General features: G+C 39.5%; 1 protein-coding gene across 1 annotated transcript; it reads right to left on the bottom strand.

The window, feature by feature from the left end:
• Positions 1–6,858: 6,858 nt before the first annotated feature.
• Positions 6,859–16,756, bottom strand: OR2A5 (olfactory receptor family 2 subfamily A member 5). Its single transcript, NM_012365.2, has 2 exons — positions 16,571–16,756; positions 6,859–15,353 (listed from the first exon to the last, which is right to left on the bottom strand). Exon 2 carries the CDS (start codon positions 15,300–15,302, stop codon positions 14,367–14,369), a length of 936 nt encoding a protein of 311 aa, NP_036497.1. The 5' UTR covers positions 15,303–15,353; positions 16,571–16,756; the 3' UTR covers positions 6,859–14,366.
• Positions 16,757–17,009: the final 253 nt, after the last annotated feature.

Below are 17,009 nucleotides of genomic sequence, written 5' to 3'. Positions count from 1 at the left end.
ACATCTTTTCCCCTTTTTTTCTGATCAGTCTATTTTATTAGTATTTTTTGAAAAAGGAACTAAGATTCTATTTTAATAATGTTTATCATTCTTTATTTTTCCAATAACGTTTGCTCTTATATAAATTATATACTATTTTTATTTTAATTTTTGGTCATTGTATATTTCTGAGTTGAATATTTAACTTATTATAAATCTTACTTTTAAAATAAATGTAATTTTAGCTGTAAATTTATTTTCCCCCACCATTTTAGCCATACATTTTAAGTCTGACATTTAGAACTTTCATTATGGTTGATTTCATCTTCAAAGGACAAATTATGAAGAAGTGCATTTTTAGGTTTCCAAATATTTTTGTTACATTTCTGTTGTTAATTTTACATTTATTATCACCTGTGGTAAGAGAATGAATCCTTGTGATACTGATTCTTTGAAAATATGAGGGGTTTTTTTGTTTTGTATATATTCACTTTTTGCAATTGTTATATTGACTTTAATGTATATGCTTTATTTTAGGGAATGTAGGAATCTTTATATATCTGTTTGATCAAGCATGTAAATTTTTTGTAGTTTTTATTTCCAATTTTTGTCAGGATTATCTATTATTTTCTGAGAGCATTTTTCTAATTCCCCCACTAAGAAGTTGAGTTGGTAATCTTTTCAGTGTAATTCTATTTTTTTTCCTATTTCTACATTAAGGTTATATTGTTGTATATACATATTTATGATTGTTACATATTCTTGATAGAGTTTTACCTCTATTATTATGGAGTACTCTTCATACCAATTAGTGCATTTGCCTGATATAAACATGAGTGCAAACATCCAGCTTGTATTTATATTGCCGCATCAACTTATTAAATATTTGCATAGGCTGTGTTCTTCATTCTCATATTCCCAGACTTTCTTTGTGATTGTGTTTTAGCTAGTCTTACAAATAATATATAACTGTATTTTATGGGCTTAAAAATATGAAATACAATACAATATGAAAATGGGAAAATATAATCAATTTTCTCTCAGTGTAAATATTGAGATATTTGGGCTTTCTATTATTTGTGTTTTGTGTTTAGCATCCTGTTACTTAGCTTTTATATTTGTTCTCTCCCTCTGCTAGTTTAATAAAGAGGTGGTATAAGATTGTCAACCCTGGCTCCCACTTTTTTGGCTCATCATCATTTTGCCTTTGCTTGGCAGTCAATTCCTAAATTTCTTTGGCATGTTCATTCAGCATGCAAGTAATGCATACACCAAACTATAATAACTAGATTGCTTTGCAACACACCAGATAAAAAATATTTTATGTTAATGCTGTTTGTAAACTCCCATACATGGCCAGATTTTTTTTTATAATTACTTGAATAATTGTCCCGAATTTCTAAATGTTTTTCTAACTTGTTTTTGAACCAGCAGGAATCCACCAGGAAAACAAAGCACTCTGGTACTTCAACGGAGAATTTAGATAAATACGTGGTTAAATGAACATTGAAGAAGGAAAGCAGCAACAAAGAAGCTCTCAGACGAACAGACAGGACAGAGTCAGGAAAGAACAGAGGTTAGAGTGATTACAATTTACAGATTCAGAGGAGAGACGGTGTGGGAACTTCAACCTCTGAGGAGAAAGTGCCCCCCACAAACCCCACTAAAACTATGGCCCCAGGTTGGGAGTGATGAGGCTGACTCTGGGAACTGCCCAAGTGAAGAGTTGAGGTAACACCAAAAAGAGCAGCAAGCACACAGGTAGGAGGAGCAAGTTTCTTTTGCCCTCTCAACGCTCCCAGTTTCCTCTAGCGCCCCCTATTGGTAGAACCTAAATGGAAGTCATCCGGGCAAAAGGCAAAGGTAATTTGGGGACTTTCAGCTACCACTAAGCATAGAGTGGAAGGATGAGTTTGGAGCAGAAAGACAGTAACTTAGGAATTAGTACAGTATCCCCCTTTGGCAGCTTGGCATTTATAAACACACTTTTATATACATTTAAACATCTAAACAATAACAACTTTATGATTTAGTTAGGTATGATGCAACTAGCCTTTCCACATACTAAGATGTCGCTACCTTTTAATTGACACAAAATCCTAATATTCATTGTATCCACCTCTAGAGGACTCACAGTATGCACTTCTGGCTGATGTTATCATAGACCTTCTATACAGGAGGTGTTTTTCACCATCTACTAATTTCTGGATCATATCACTTTCTGAGGCAGCACTTTAATTTGCTCACTAAGATCATGCCTCTTTCACTCAAATTGCTCTTTGATTACCCGTTACCTTTTCAGTTCCACCAATGACAAAAACATCTCTTTTTAAAAACGAAAACTTTAAGAACCATTACCATGGGCACCACTTTTTTCCTCTTTTGTATTTACCGAATCCTTCTTCTAAGATATTAAGCTTTCTCGTAAGGAAGTGTCTCCCTTTGTCTAGCTTACTAATTTTCTTTTATATCATTTTATTTTTCCAGTGCTCCTATAATGGTACTCTAAAGCTGCTTTGAATTTTCAAACCACTTTAATTGCACTTTGAGTATCTAAGCAAACCTGATCTCCAGATACAGACAGAGCTTTCCAGGTACATGTTTTTAAAATTGCTTTCTTATTCTCTGGGTTTACGGTAATTTCTATTGGTCATTTCCTTCATTAAACAAAATAAGGGATATATCTTCTCGGGAGTTACTTTGACTCATTTTACATGTATATTAATAAAATATTCCATATTTTCCTGTGTAATCTATAATTTGGATATCTTACATTGAAGGGACAACTATGTCATTAAAAAATTCTGAGCCCTCAGTGATGGAGTAGGAGTGGAGCATTCTGAGCCTGTGAGCAAACTGTGTGAATTCAAGGTCAGTATCTCCATAGCTCACTCCAAGAATGCAGAATGGAATTTAGGCCAGCCAGTCTGGTGTTACCCACTGTGGTACCAGAAATTTAAAGGTGCAATGTCACCAGTGCATAAAGATACTCTAATGCCTTGAACTTTAAACTTCCCAACCTTTAAGATTTCTTAAACAACTAAAAACAAAACTATTATTCAATCCAGCAATCCCAATACTGGGTATCTACCTGAAAGAAAATAAATTAATGTATCAAAAAGATTACTGCATTCATGTTTGTCACAGCACTATTCACAATAGCAAAGATATGGTACCAACATGTAAATTGGTGCAGCAGAGAGTGGGACACTGCTATAAGGATACCCAAAAATGTGGAAGTGACTTTGGAATTGGGTAACAGGCAGAGGTTGCAACAGTTTGAATAGCTCAGAAGACAGAATAATGTGGGTGTTTTCATCGGTTCTTACACTGCTAATAAAAACATACCTGAGACTGGGTAATTTATAAAGGAAAGAGGTTTAATGGATCACAGTTCCACATGGCTGGGGAGGCCTCACAATCATGGCAGAAAGTGAAGGAAGAGCAAAGGCACATCTTACGTGGTGGCTGGCAAGAGAGCAAGAGAGTGTGCAGGGGAAACCCCCATGTATAAAACCATCAGATCTCCTGAGACTTACTCACTACCATGAGAACACTATGGGGGAAACTGCCCCATGATTCAATTATCTCCACCTGCCACCATTCTTGACATGTGGGGATTATTACAATTCAAGGTGAGACTTGGGTGGGGACACAGCCAAACCCTATTATTCTTCCCCAGCCCCTCCCAAATCTCATGTCTTCACATTTCAAAACCAATCATGCCTTTCCAACAGTCCCCCAAAGTCTTATTTCAGCATTAATTCAAAGGTCCACGGTCCAAAGTCTCATCTGAGACAAGGTAAATCCCTTCTGCCTATGAGCCTGTAAAATCAAAAGTGAGTTAGTTACTTCCTAGATACAATGGGGGTACAGGCATTGGGTAAATACAACCATTCCAAATGGGAGAAATTGGCCAAAACAAAGGGGCTACAAGCCCCATGCAAGTCCAAACTCTAGCAGGGTATCGGGGAATCTGCCCCTGATAGTCACGTAGGTTCTTTTCTATTTTCCCTAAGCATCAGCTGGGTTGAGAAATAAAGGGACAGAGTACAAAAGAGAGAAATTTTAAAGCTGGGCGTCTGGGGGAGACATCACATGTCGGTAGGTTCTGTGATGCCCCTTGAGCCGTAAAACCAGCAAGTTTTTATTAGTGATTTTCAAAAGAGGAGGGAGTGTATGAATAGGGTGTGGGTCATAGAGATCTCATGCTTTACAAGGTAATAGAATATCACAAGGCGAATGGAGGCAGGGCGAGATCACAGGACCACAGGACCAGGGCGAAATTAAAATTGCTAATGAAGTTTTGGGCATGCATTGTCATTGATAACATCTTATCAGGAGACAGGGTTTGAGAGCAGACAACCGGTCAGACCAAAATTTATTAGGCGGGAATCTCCTCATCCTAATAAGCCTGGGAGTGCTATGGGAGACTGGGGCTTATTTCTTCCCTACAGTTTTGACCATAGAAGATGGCCGCACCCAAGGGGGCCATTTTAGAGGCCTACCCTCAGGGACACATTCTCTTTCTCAGGGATGTTCCTTGCTGAGAAAAAGAATTCAGTGATATTTCTCCCATTTGCTTTTGAAAGAAGAGAAATATGGCTCTGTTCTGCCCGGCTCTCCGGTGGTCAGAGTTTAATGTTATCTCTGTTGTTCCCTGAACATTGCTGTTATCCTGTTCTTTTTTCAAGGTGCCCAGATTTCATATTGTTCAAACACACATGCTCTACAAGCAATTTTTGCAGTTAATGCAATCATCACAGGGTCCTGAGGCGACATACATCCTCCTCAGTTTACGAGATGACAGGATTAAGAGATTAAAGTAAAGACAGGCATAGGAAATCACAAGGGTATTGATTGGGTAAGTGATAAGTGTCCATGAAATCTTCACAATTTATGTTCAGAGATTGCAGTAAAGACAGGCATAAGAAATTACAAAATTATTAATTTTGGAGAACTAATAAATGTCCATGAAATCTTCACAATTTATGTTCTTTTGAGATGGCTTCAGCTGGTCCATCTGTTTGGTGTTCCTGACTTCCCACAACAGCAGGGCAGTCAAATCTTAAAGCTCTGAAATGATTTCCTTTGACTCTATGTCTCATATCCAGGTCACATTGATGCAAGGGGTGGGTTCCCATGGTCTCAGACAGCTCTGACCCTGTGGTTTTGCAGGGTACAGCCCCTCTCCTGGGTGCATTCATGTGCTGGCATTGAGTGTCTGTGGCTTTTCCAGGCACATGGTGCAAGCTCTCTGTGGATCTACCATTCTGGGTTCTGGAGGAACTTCAGTAGGCAGTGCCCCAATGAGGCCTCTGTATTAGGGCTTGAACCCCACATTTCCCTTCCACACTGCCTTAGCAGAGGTTCTCCATGAGGGATCTGCCCCTGCAGCACACCTCTGCCTGGACATCCAGGCATTTCCATACATCCTCTGAAATCTAGGTGGATGTTCTCAAACCTCAGTTCTTGACTTCTGTGCACCCACAGGCTCAACACTACATGTAAGCCACCAAAGCTTGGAGCTTATACCCTCTGAAGCAATAGCTTGAACTCTGTGTATGCCCCTTTTAGCCATGGTTGGGAAGTGGGACACCAAGTCCCAAGACTGAAGAAAGCAGCAAGGCCCTGGGCCTGGCCCAGGAAACTTTTTTTTTCTCCTAGGCCTCTGGGATTATGATGGGAGTGGCTGCCATTAAGACCTCTCACTGCCCTGGAGACATAATCCCCAAATGGTGATTAACATTTGGTTCCTTGTCACTTACGCAAATTTCTGCAGTGGGCTTGAATTTCTCACCAGAAAAATGGGTTTTCCTTTTCTATTGGATTGTCATACTGCAAATTTTCTGAACTTTTATGCTCTCTTTCCCTTTTAAACATAAGTTCCAATTCCAAACCATATCCTTGTGAATACATAAAACTGAATGCTTTTAACAGCACCCACATCACATCTTAAATGCTTTGCTGCTTAGAAATTTCTTCTGCCAGATACCCTAAATCATCACTCTCAAGTTCAGAGTTCCACAGATCTCTAGGGCAGGGGCAAAATGCCACCAGTCTCTTTGATAAAGCATAGCAAGAGTCACGTTTAGTCCAGTCCCCGACAAGTGCCTCATCTCTGACAGCTTGCACCTTGTGCCTGGGAAAGTCACAGACACCCAAAGCCTCCATGAAAACAGCTGAGTTGGAGGGCTGTACCCTGCAAAGCCACAGGGGCAGAGCTTCCTAAGGCCATGGGAGCCCATCTCTTGCATGAGCGTGACCTGGATGTGAGACATGGAGTCAAAGAAAATAATTTTGGAACTTTAAGGTTTAACGACTGCCATATTGGATTTTAGACTTGCATGGGACCTGTAGCCCCTTTGTTTTGGCCCATTTCTCCCATTTGGAATGAGTGTATTTACCCAATCCATGTACCTTCATTGTATCTAGGAAGTATTAATAACTAACTTGCTTTTGATTTTTATAGGCTCATAGGCAGAAGAAACTTGCCTTGTCTTAGATGAGGCTTTGGACTTGGACTTTTGGGTTAGTGCTAGAATAAGCTAAGACTTTGGGGGACTATTGGAAAGGCCAACTGGTTTTGAAATGTGAGGTCATGAGATTTGGAAGGAGCCAAGGGTGAAATGTTATGGTTTGGCTGTGTCCCCACCCAAGTCTCATCATGAATTGTAGTTCCTATAATCCCCTCTGTCGTGGGAGGGACCTGGTGGGAGGTAATTGAATCATGGGGGTGGTTACTCCCATGCTGCTGTTCTCATAATAGTGAGTGAATTCTTACGAGATCTGATTTTTATTTATTTTATGCTATTTTTTTATTTTTGAGACAGTCTGTCTCTCTCTGTCACCCAGGCTGGAGTGCAGTGGTGCAATCTCGGCTCACTGCAACCTCCGCCTCCTGGGTTCAAGCGATTCTTCTGCCTCAGCCTCCCAGGTAGCTGGGACTACAAGCACGTGCCACCATGCCCGGTAATTTTTGTATTTTAGAAGAGATGGGGTTTCACCATATTGGCCAGGCTTGTCTTGAACTCCTGATCTCGCGATCCACCCACCTCGGCCTCCCAAAGTGCTGGGATTACAGGTGTGAGTCACCATGCCAGGCTGATCTGATGGTTTTTTAAAAGGCTTTCCCTGCTTTGCTTGGCAGTTCTTCTGGCCACCGTGTGAAGAAGGATGTGTTTGCTTCCACTTCCGCCATGATTGTAAGTTTCCTGAGGCCTCCTCAGCCATGCTGAACTGTGAGTCAACTAAACCCTGTTTTAAAAATAAATTGCCCAGTCTCAGGTATGTCTTTATTAGCAGCATGAGAACAGACTAATACAACATGTGTCCATCAATAAATGAAAGTATAAAAAAAAGTATTATACATATGTAATGGAATACTATTCAGCCATTAAAAAACTATGAAATTATGTATTTTACAACAAGATGGATGAAACTAGAGATCATTATCTTAAGTGAAACAAGCCAGGCACAGAAAGACAAATATTGCATGTTCTCACTCATAAATGGGTGAAGATTATGGGAGTCAGGCAGCAGGTCGGGATAGCCGCTGAGCTGACCAGTGACTCATGTGGCTGTAATCACTAGGACAACAGCCTTGTATCTGGCTGAAAGGCTGGTGAAGCCACTGAGGAGTGGATGACAGACGTATTGCCTGCTACAACTGCAGCAGAGGTGGGGGGCTCAAAGATGGCAAATGTGATCTACTTTTGAATTTTTAACACACACTAAATTATAAATTTTTCTAATGCAATCTACAATTATTCAGCATTTTCACCTTTCTAGTCAAGTCAAGAGCTTTACCGTGATTTAATTATTCATTGGTATTATTTACATCAACCTGTTACAGCTGCTAAGAGCTTTTATTATTTCATATAAAAAGCTATTTTGTTTACATTCAACAATTATATTTACTATTATTCTTTATCAACTCGTATGCTTCGCATGTACCCTATATACTTTTATTCTGTTTTCATCTTTTTTTCTATCCAATATATTTATTAATAATTCTGTTGAAGACCTAAGGGAGGTAATTTTCCTTAGACTTTGTTTGAAAACATTTTCATTTTTCTCTTTTTCTTGAATTACAGTTTAACTGTGTGTGAAATTGTAGAGTAACAGTTTTCCTAATCCTTTTGAATATTCTCTTTTGGCATCTGTTTTGCTGAGGGGAAGTCCACTATTATTTGTTATTCTTTTGTAGCTATTCTTTTATTCTCTGAAGGTTTTATTATTTTCTTTTCCTCCTTAATGTTCTGTGCTTTCATTATGATATGTCTAGATATTAATTTATTTTTATTCATGTAGCTTGATACTCAGAGTATCTTTTGTTCTGAGAATTCATGTGTTTAGCCATCAGGAAAAAAATTTCAGCAATAATGTCCTATCCTATTTTCATCATTATTTTTACGTCCTTATAAAATAAATAGATATTATATCTGAGTCTAGATTCTATGTGCTTTTTATTCCATTTTCTTAAAAAATAGTCTCTGTTGCATTTTGGGAAAATTATGCATTCCATGTTCTATTTCACATTTTTTCCCATAATGTACTCCATCTAGAATTTATCCTGTTAGTTGAATTTTTTTCATATTTAAGAAGAGTTGGCCGGGCGCGGTGGCTCACGCCTGTAATCCCAGCACTTTGGGAGGCCGAGGTGGGTGGATCACGAGGTCAGCAGATCGAGACCATCCTGGCTAACACAGTGAAACCCCGTCTCTACTAAAAATGCAAAAAATTAGCCGGGCATGGTGGCAGACGCCTGTAGTCCCAGCTACTCGGGAGGCTGAGGCAGGAGAATGGCATGAAACCAGGAGGCAGAGCTTGCAGTGAACCGAGATTGTGCCACTGCACTCCAGCCTGGGCGACAGAGCGAGACTCCGTCTCAAAAAAAAAAAAAAAAAAAACAAGAGTTAGTCCTTATTTCAGGGAATGCGTGTTTTATTTCTAAGCTCTGTAATTGTTATCTTTTGGGATCCATCTGTTATTTTCTAATTATTTTCCGTCTTAATCCCTGGCCATCTAAAATAGTTAGCATATCTTTAAGAAATCTTTTATGCATTTAAACATAAACATAAATATTTATCAATTGTTCATTCCTGAACATGCACAAGGGACATCATCAGAAGTGAATTTATTTTCCAGTTGTTGATATTTTGGGCTGCTTCTCTTGGCAGCTTCTGAAAATAGATTTAAAAACCCAGTTCTCTCTCCATTTCTCTCTGTCTGTCTCTCTCCCTCCCTCTTCTCTCATCTAGAAGCTCAGGGGTTGTCTTGGCCCAGCTCTTTGGGCTTCCTATCCAGACCTGGATCTTACGTAAATGGTTTAGAATTATGTACCTATAGTGAGACTGAGTATATTGGGAATCCCAGCACCCAGAGTGGGTGTCTGGATTCCACATTTGGTTGCAGCGCAGGGCCTGGGTTCTCACAAGTCTTCAGCTAGCTACATAGGGAAGCAGTACAGCACAGTACATTTTTTGGTCTTCATTAGTAAGCAAAGGAAGTCAGTCCCTCCCACCCTCCTCCATACCTTATTTTCAAGGAAGGTGCTAAGCCTCAGTTCCCCATTATTGCATGAAGAACTTTAATATATTTAGTTCCTAAGAGCAAAGCTATCTCCACTCAGGCCAGCTTACAAACAGTCGGCTAACCCGTGGCTTCTGCATCACTCACACATCTGATTTTATGTTTTGTTTCTGATCCACAGAGATGTTTATCTTGCCTTGGGGGCTAATTTTGTCTTTTTCATTTCCTCTCCTTGTGGTTTAATCTGTCACTGCTCTGTGGGGTTTTTTGTTTGTTTGTTTGTTTGTTTTTTCAAAGATGGGGTCCCACTCTGTTGCCCAGGCTGGAATGCAGTAGCATGGTCATAGCTCACTGCAGCCTCAAACTACGGGGCTCAAGCGATCCTCCCACCTCAATCTCTTCAGTTTTTGGGATTACATGTGCAAGCCCCTGTGCCTGTGTTTAAGGCAAAAGTCATTGAGCCACTATCACTGAATATCAGGCTAATATTTTAAAATGTGAAACCATGTATATCTAGAAATAAAGTTGTGATGGCATTGTGGGAATAAAAGTATGAGAACCACAAGTATGAAGCTTATACAACAATTTTTTCCTACTTGAATATTTTCTTTTGATGACTCTGCTGAATCCTCGGAAGAACAAGACGGGATTTTGACAGAAAAAAGATTATCTTAGAATTACCATTTAAAAATCTTTAAATGACTGTAAGTTTGTTTAAAATCAGGTTAAACTCCGCCCCTCATTAAAAAGATGAAAAAGTTTATTATGAAATCTTAAATTTTCAAGATTGAAGAGACATTGGAAAGACTCTATTGCAAATGCCTGTTCAACGTATTTATATTTTACTCAACCTTTATGTTTCTATTTATAGTAAGGCTGCACAATAATTCACAAGACCTCATTGTTGCATAACTTATAATGTTCAAAAATATTTTCTCATATTGATGTTAATTCCACTTTTATGTAAACCTACTTTTTGATTCTAGGGTATTTTTCCCCACTTTGTGGAAGGCAATAAACAACTATGTTTGCCTCCTGCAAGATTCTCGATGGGACATATGAAGACAATTATCCTGTTTGCTTTATTCCTCCTTTTTTCCGGGCTATGGAAACACAGTCATTTCAAAAATTATTTATGGCTATGCACTCATTTATTTGCTCATCTATATATTTCTTTCCTAATATGATTAGTATCCAGGGCAATAGTAAGGCCAGGGAGACCAATATAAGGAGTTGGCTACTATGAGTGCCAAAATTTCAGCCAACTAACAAGGTGTCACCAGGGTGAGTTTCTATCTCTACATACAGAGACTGAGATTTCCTAGAGGAGCTATTCTAGATACACAGTTGATGAGAATTCTTAGTGTGTGGGTAGGAGAATGAACGTAACAAAGCTATGGACTAATTATTTTTGTATATATTTCCTATCTGGATGCTATCTCAAGAATCCTTTTCGAATTGAAGCTATATAGAGAATGTAAAATTTTATGTAGGATTCTTCTTACAGTTTTGTCTACTAGCAGGAACAATGAACACCATTTCATACCCAACCTCCTGTGTACTAACCTTCAACCTCCTTTGGTGGAGACCTTCCCCAATATCACCAACCAAATAAAAACAAAGACAGGCACAGAAAGTTGCAAACACAAAGAGCTGAGATTTTTTGAGAAACTTCCATTGTTCAGTAAGTATCATAATAATTTATGAATCATTAAAATAAAATTGGATTTTGTAGTTTTATAGTTGTTTAGTCATGAATTTTACCAGCTCTTAGTCTTACTATGTAATCATTTTTCATTTTCATTGTCCTTATATCCTTCTCACAAAAATACATCACTTCAAATCAGAGTCACATAAAGTCTTTCATTTAGCATTCATAAAAGTTATATAAGGCACCTAGCTGAAACCTTGTTAGCCACATCTGACCTAAAATAAAACTCAGGATTGAGGAGGCTATATTATTCCTAGAAGCAGACCTATTTAGCAAGTTGTAGCACAATTGAGATGTGAATCTAACATAGCAAGCATCTCAGCTTGCACCTGTGCTGGGTTCCCCCTTTCTCAGTCCTAGCAGCCTAGAGCACTGGTAAGGTAGGTCCATCACGGATCTGTACACAGGAGAGATGGGGACACTTCCTGGAAAAGCATTAATCACATCATAAAGGTAAAGAACACAGGTGGGTACACCTAATGATAGAAAGAAGACCAGAATCATAGGTAAGATGATCACTGAGAACAGCAGGGTGTCTCTCGTTCAGATTGTCCCTTTGGGGCAATGCCTTATGAGGCCATGTGATTTTGCAGACAGGCATTAGGAGGGAGTTACTATTGGAAAATGATGATGCTGCTAATGTGAGTGTTTCTACTCTTCCCAAAGGTGGTAATGAATCCTCCAAAGATGGGTTGGCTACAGGATGTATTCTTTCTGGTGTTAAGACTTTGGCTATAATACTGTAAACTCCGTTTTGTTCCAGACTCTGCCCCATCATGTGGATGTTGAGTCTAACCCCTGTTGAGCTAAAATTTGTAATGTTTTGGGCAGAAAGCTGCTAAGAAGCAGCTTGGGTTTGCAATCAGTACGATCCATAACACTCAGTTCTATTACTGGTTGCATAGTATAGGATAAGTTATTAAATCATTCTGAACTTTGTTTACTTATCTATTAAGTGGAGAAAATAATAGCGACTCCATTGTGATGTTTATGCAAGATAAACGGGGTAACATTTGTGAAGCAGTCAGTAGAACTTGCAGCCTAAAACAATGCAATTGTTTCTTTCACTTTCCCCCAGACCTTTAAAAACTGATTAATGTTGAAAATATGTATATATAAAGCGGTCATAACACCAACATTTAATTAGTTTGTTAAAATCCTACAACTCAAATATGGAAACAATTAATAGAAATTTTTCATATACTCAGGTATTTTCTGTAATGTATTCAATATATATATATATATAAAATTAGAGCCACTATTAAGACCTGCTAGAGAACATTTCTTTATAATTTATCTATATTTGTCACTTTCTGTAGAAATGTAGTCTTTTTGGTCTATTCTTTCCCAATCACTTAGAACTGACATAGGATGAATTATACCCCCTGATTTTTCCACTGTACCCTAGGTAAAAAAATTCTGAATCCAAATCTATTGCTTATGTTTTATATGAGATGAACTATTCTATATGTTTCCTCTTTCCCTTTTCTTTTAAAGGTTTTAAGCAGAACATGAAGTATACATATTTTAGGGAATGTAATAATTTTTTTCAGATATAGTTAGAAAGTCCTTTCTATATGAAAATACTGCCTGTTTTCTCTTTCTAGCTTCAGAGTAGTGCACACAATAATTCCATAGTGGTTGATAGTTAAATTTAGATCCAGTATTTTTTTTTAAATTCAAATTGCTCTCTTTGGGAGGGGCAGAGCAAGGTTTGTGAATTTCTGCAGGCCAAAAAATGTCCTCACAGTATGGAGATATGAAAACAAAGACCATCACCAGAGGCAGAATGTTTAACCGAGATGAATGGATGAGCAGAATAGTCAGCAACTAGGCTTTTTGAGAACTGAAAAGAAAACAGTGCATTTGGAGAGGGGGTGGGAGGAAAGAGTTCCCCCTTTGCTTCTTTCTTTCATGGAAGAAGAAATATATGAAGTGATAAGAATATATTTTAAAATTGTAAAAATAGAAAAGGTACAGGCAGCAGATAATGTAATAACATCATGGGTCATACAGTTGAATTCACACAATACTACAAGGGTTGAGAGAAAAAAGAGAGAATTCCAAAAGGTACCATACTCAATGTGTTAAAGAAATCATATTATCATATTATGCTGATCATTTAGGACTCAGACTTGTGTTAAAATAAAACAAATTACCTGTCCATGTCATTCTGACCACTTGGGTCCAGGAAAAGTGATTTATGTCACCTGGAATAGCTTCTCTTTGGAATTTTGTTGAGGTTCCTGAAAGTCTTTATCAAGACTTGACATGTTCTTGGTTCTAAGCGGTGGTCTATGATGTTACATCAAGCTGTCAGTTTCCCTTGATGCTTTCTTCCTTTGCAGTATTTTCTTACTACTACAATATTTTATGTAATCACCGTAATGATAAATTGTCACCTACACCCGGCTTTGCGATCTGAATTATGAAAAAGGTAACTATCCCTAATAACATTCTCTCATATTTATTTTAAATGCAAAATCTTTCCAAACTCTTTCTAATTAAATGGTGCAGAATTAAGTGAAATGAAACAAAGATCCTGATATTTCTCTGCCTTTTATATAAAAAAATCTATACAATTAAACTTTGCTTTTTACAGAATTAGATTTGTTAGGGTGATTTAGATGAACTTCCAGTACTAATATCATCATCCTTAGGCTTTAGGTTCCAAACCAGGCATTTTCTATACTCTTAGTTGTTGTTACATTCCCAGTAGAGGGCTGCTTAACCAAGGTCAGTATTTATTCTGTGTGATTACAAGTACTCTCTTATAGTAGCATATGGTATGGGATTACCAGCATATACTTATGGCAAAAAGAGATGGAAATAATAGAGGAATTTAAGAGGAAGCTTGAGAGAACTAAGCCTCAAAAGAACAGAAAGCAGATCCTGGGTAGGGGTGGGACCTGGGAGTAGGAGTTCATGGCACTTTGCACCTCTGCTGCACCACACGGCTCAGCGCCTGTCTGCATGTGCTTTGTGATCTGCATGGTACTCCACGTTTAGGGATAGAATCCAATCAATATACATTCTTGATATCAGAAATCTAAGAGATGAGACTGTAAGGCATTTACACCACTGTTCCTACAAATCTCATTGGGAGCAAATCTTCAACCCTCTAGACTTTCCCTGGCATCCCTCACTTTGATCTCTGTTTCCACAACACTCTTTTCAGGGCACCCTTGACCTCTGCGTTCCTCAGGCTATAGATCAAGGGGTTCAGCATCGGGTTGAAAAGGCTGTAAAACAGGGAAAGGACCTTCTGCTGCTCCTCAGGGTGGCGGGACTTGGGGGCCATGTACATGACAATGGCGCTGCCAAAGAAGAGTCCCACCATGCAAAGGTGGGAGGAGCAGGTGGAGAAGGCCTTTCTGCGGCCCTCCCCAGACTGGATCCTCAAGATGGCCGCCAGGATGCGCGAGTAGGAGACCAGCACCAGGCAGAGCGGCCCCACCAGGATGAACACTGAAGCAGCAAAGATGACCACCTGGTTGAGCCAGGTGTCAGCACAGGCCAACTTGAGGACAGACAGGATTTCACAGAAGAAGTGGTTGATTTCATGGGGCCCACAGAAGGGCAGCCTCAGGATGAGAACCACATGGACCAGGGCCAGAAGGGAACCACATGCCCAAGAAGTGACAGCCAGGACTGTGCACACTCCCCATCTCATGATGACAGAATATTGCAGAGGGTGGCAGATAGCCATGTACCGATCGTAGGACATCATTACCAAGATGAGACACTCAGTGTGAGCAAAAGCCATGTATAAAAAGGTCTGCATTGTGCATGGGACAAAGGAGATTGTTTTTCTCTTGTTCAAGCCAAGGTTTGTCAGCATCTTGGGGACATTGTTGGAAGCATACGAAATATCAATGATGGCCAGGTGTGAGAGAAAGAAGTACATGGGGGTGTGCAGTCTGGAGTCCAGCCAGATGAGCCCCAGGATGGCCCCATTTCCCAGCAGGGTGAAGACGTATAACAGGGAGAAAAGCCCAGAGAGGAGCATCTGAATCCTTAGGCTGAGTGGAAATCCCAGGAGAATGAATTCTGTGACCCATGTCTGATTTTTTGTCATGCCCTTGTGACAGTACCTGCGTTGGACTCTGCTGTGGCAATGAGCTATGTGCTGAGGAGCAAATGCAGATCCGGATTAGTCAGTTAACAGAAGGAGGGGGTTTATGGTGCACACAGGGTGCTGACTCAGTCAGCAAGGTTTTTCGGAGCCATTATGCCAAATCCTTTAATCCAGAGTAAAGCAGAAAATAAATTTGGTTCAGAGAACTAGTGTAAATGCAGACAGGGTGATGTATACTATATCCAGTCCCACAGAATTTTACTTAACTTGGATTGCAAGACCCACATTTTTGCTATCAGAAGGGCAGCCACAGAGTAAGTTGTTTTTCAGAATGGCTAGCCATTTTATTTTAGAGTAAGGATCACAGCCATGTTCTTATGTGTTTTACTTTCTAATTTATTTACTTTGCATATTTTCCCCCACTTTCTCTTCCATATTTGGTTTTCAATTATTTTGTAATTTGTGCAGAGTGCATTGCACATGCAGGTGCTCCAGTAAATGATTAGAGAAAATACGTAAAAGCATGAATTAGGAAATGAGGTTTACAAATGCAATTTCAAAGAGGTTTCCTTCCCTGTGTTTACTAGTTTTAGGGAAAATAAAGCTTGCATTAAATGTTTTACTTCCTGAAGCAACTCAGGAAAATCTGGCTGTTTCCCTTTGCATGCAAGCCAAGAAAGTTTGCCATCACTAATCCAGCAAGCATTCACTGAAGTCATTTCTGATATATGGCCAGGGCAAGTGGTTATCTATGTGAAGAGTTAACAGGATAATATTCTGATTCCTGCCTTCACCCCACCCCTTTGCAGGGCTGCTTCCCTGGTTCTTACCAGGTGCTGTTGCTGGCACAATGCCCACTACACTTGTTGGATGAATTGATGGATGGATGGATGGATGGACGAATGAAAGGCATTACGTTAGGAATAACATTCAAAGAGCATATCCTAGATTTCAATCAAGTCTTCAGACTCTTCTTAAATTTTCTCTGCTTGTCATTCCCCCAACCACATAGCCACAGGGGCTATAGAAAGGGGAAACCAGGATGTTTCATAGAAGTACACAAATGTTAAATGATCAATGCGTCATTCTCAATGTGCAGCTTATGACTCCACCTCTGCAAATGCTAACTCCACCTTTAGCCCAGGAAACTGTCTGCCAATAAATTACCTCTGTATCTCCCATTCAATGTACTGATTTCTGGAGCCCTGCCTTCATCCAGACCCTAGCTTCTCTAAACTACCAGACTTTGCAAAAGACCCTTTACTCACTGTGGTATCAGGCCTGGTCTTGTCTCAGAAATATAATTCTATTTAGAGAAATTGTGCAGAGATCACAGGAGCTTTTGAAGGCCAGAGCTGAGGATCTTGCTCCCACCAGCAGCCCCTGAGAGAAGGAATTTCCAGATGCAGGAGTTGTCTCTCTTTTCTTAGCATAGGCTGATGCAGACTGCAGCCTGCTCTCTGGGAACACCAGCAGTATAGGTTTTATGGTGGGGTTATCTCCACTCAAGCCTTCACGGATTGTCCCTGAGGACAAGGTAGAGTCCCTAAGGGAAACAGGATACACAGCAGTCAGACTCTGTGTCTACCAGAACAAACAAAAGTAGTTTATCCTCCTGTCTCCATTTCTCTGGGCCCTGGGGATGGGCATTCAGAAAAAAAAAAGCTGGCAGGTGATGGCTTAATAACCAGCTGGATCTCTACACAT

Source organism: Homo sapiens, chromosome 7 (assembly GCF_000001405.40).
Source record: "Homo sapiens chromosome 7, GRCh38.p14 Primary Assembly".
Lineage (NCBI taxonomy): Eukaryota > Metazoa > Chordata > Mammalia > Primates > Hominidae > Homo > Homo sapiens.
Note: the sequence above shows the minus strand (reverse complement) of the source record. Positions and strands in the feature narration are given on the sequence as shown.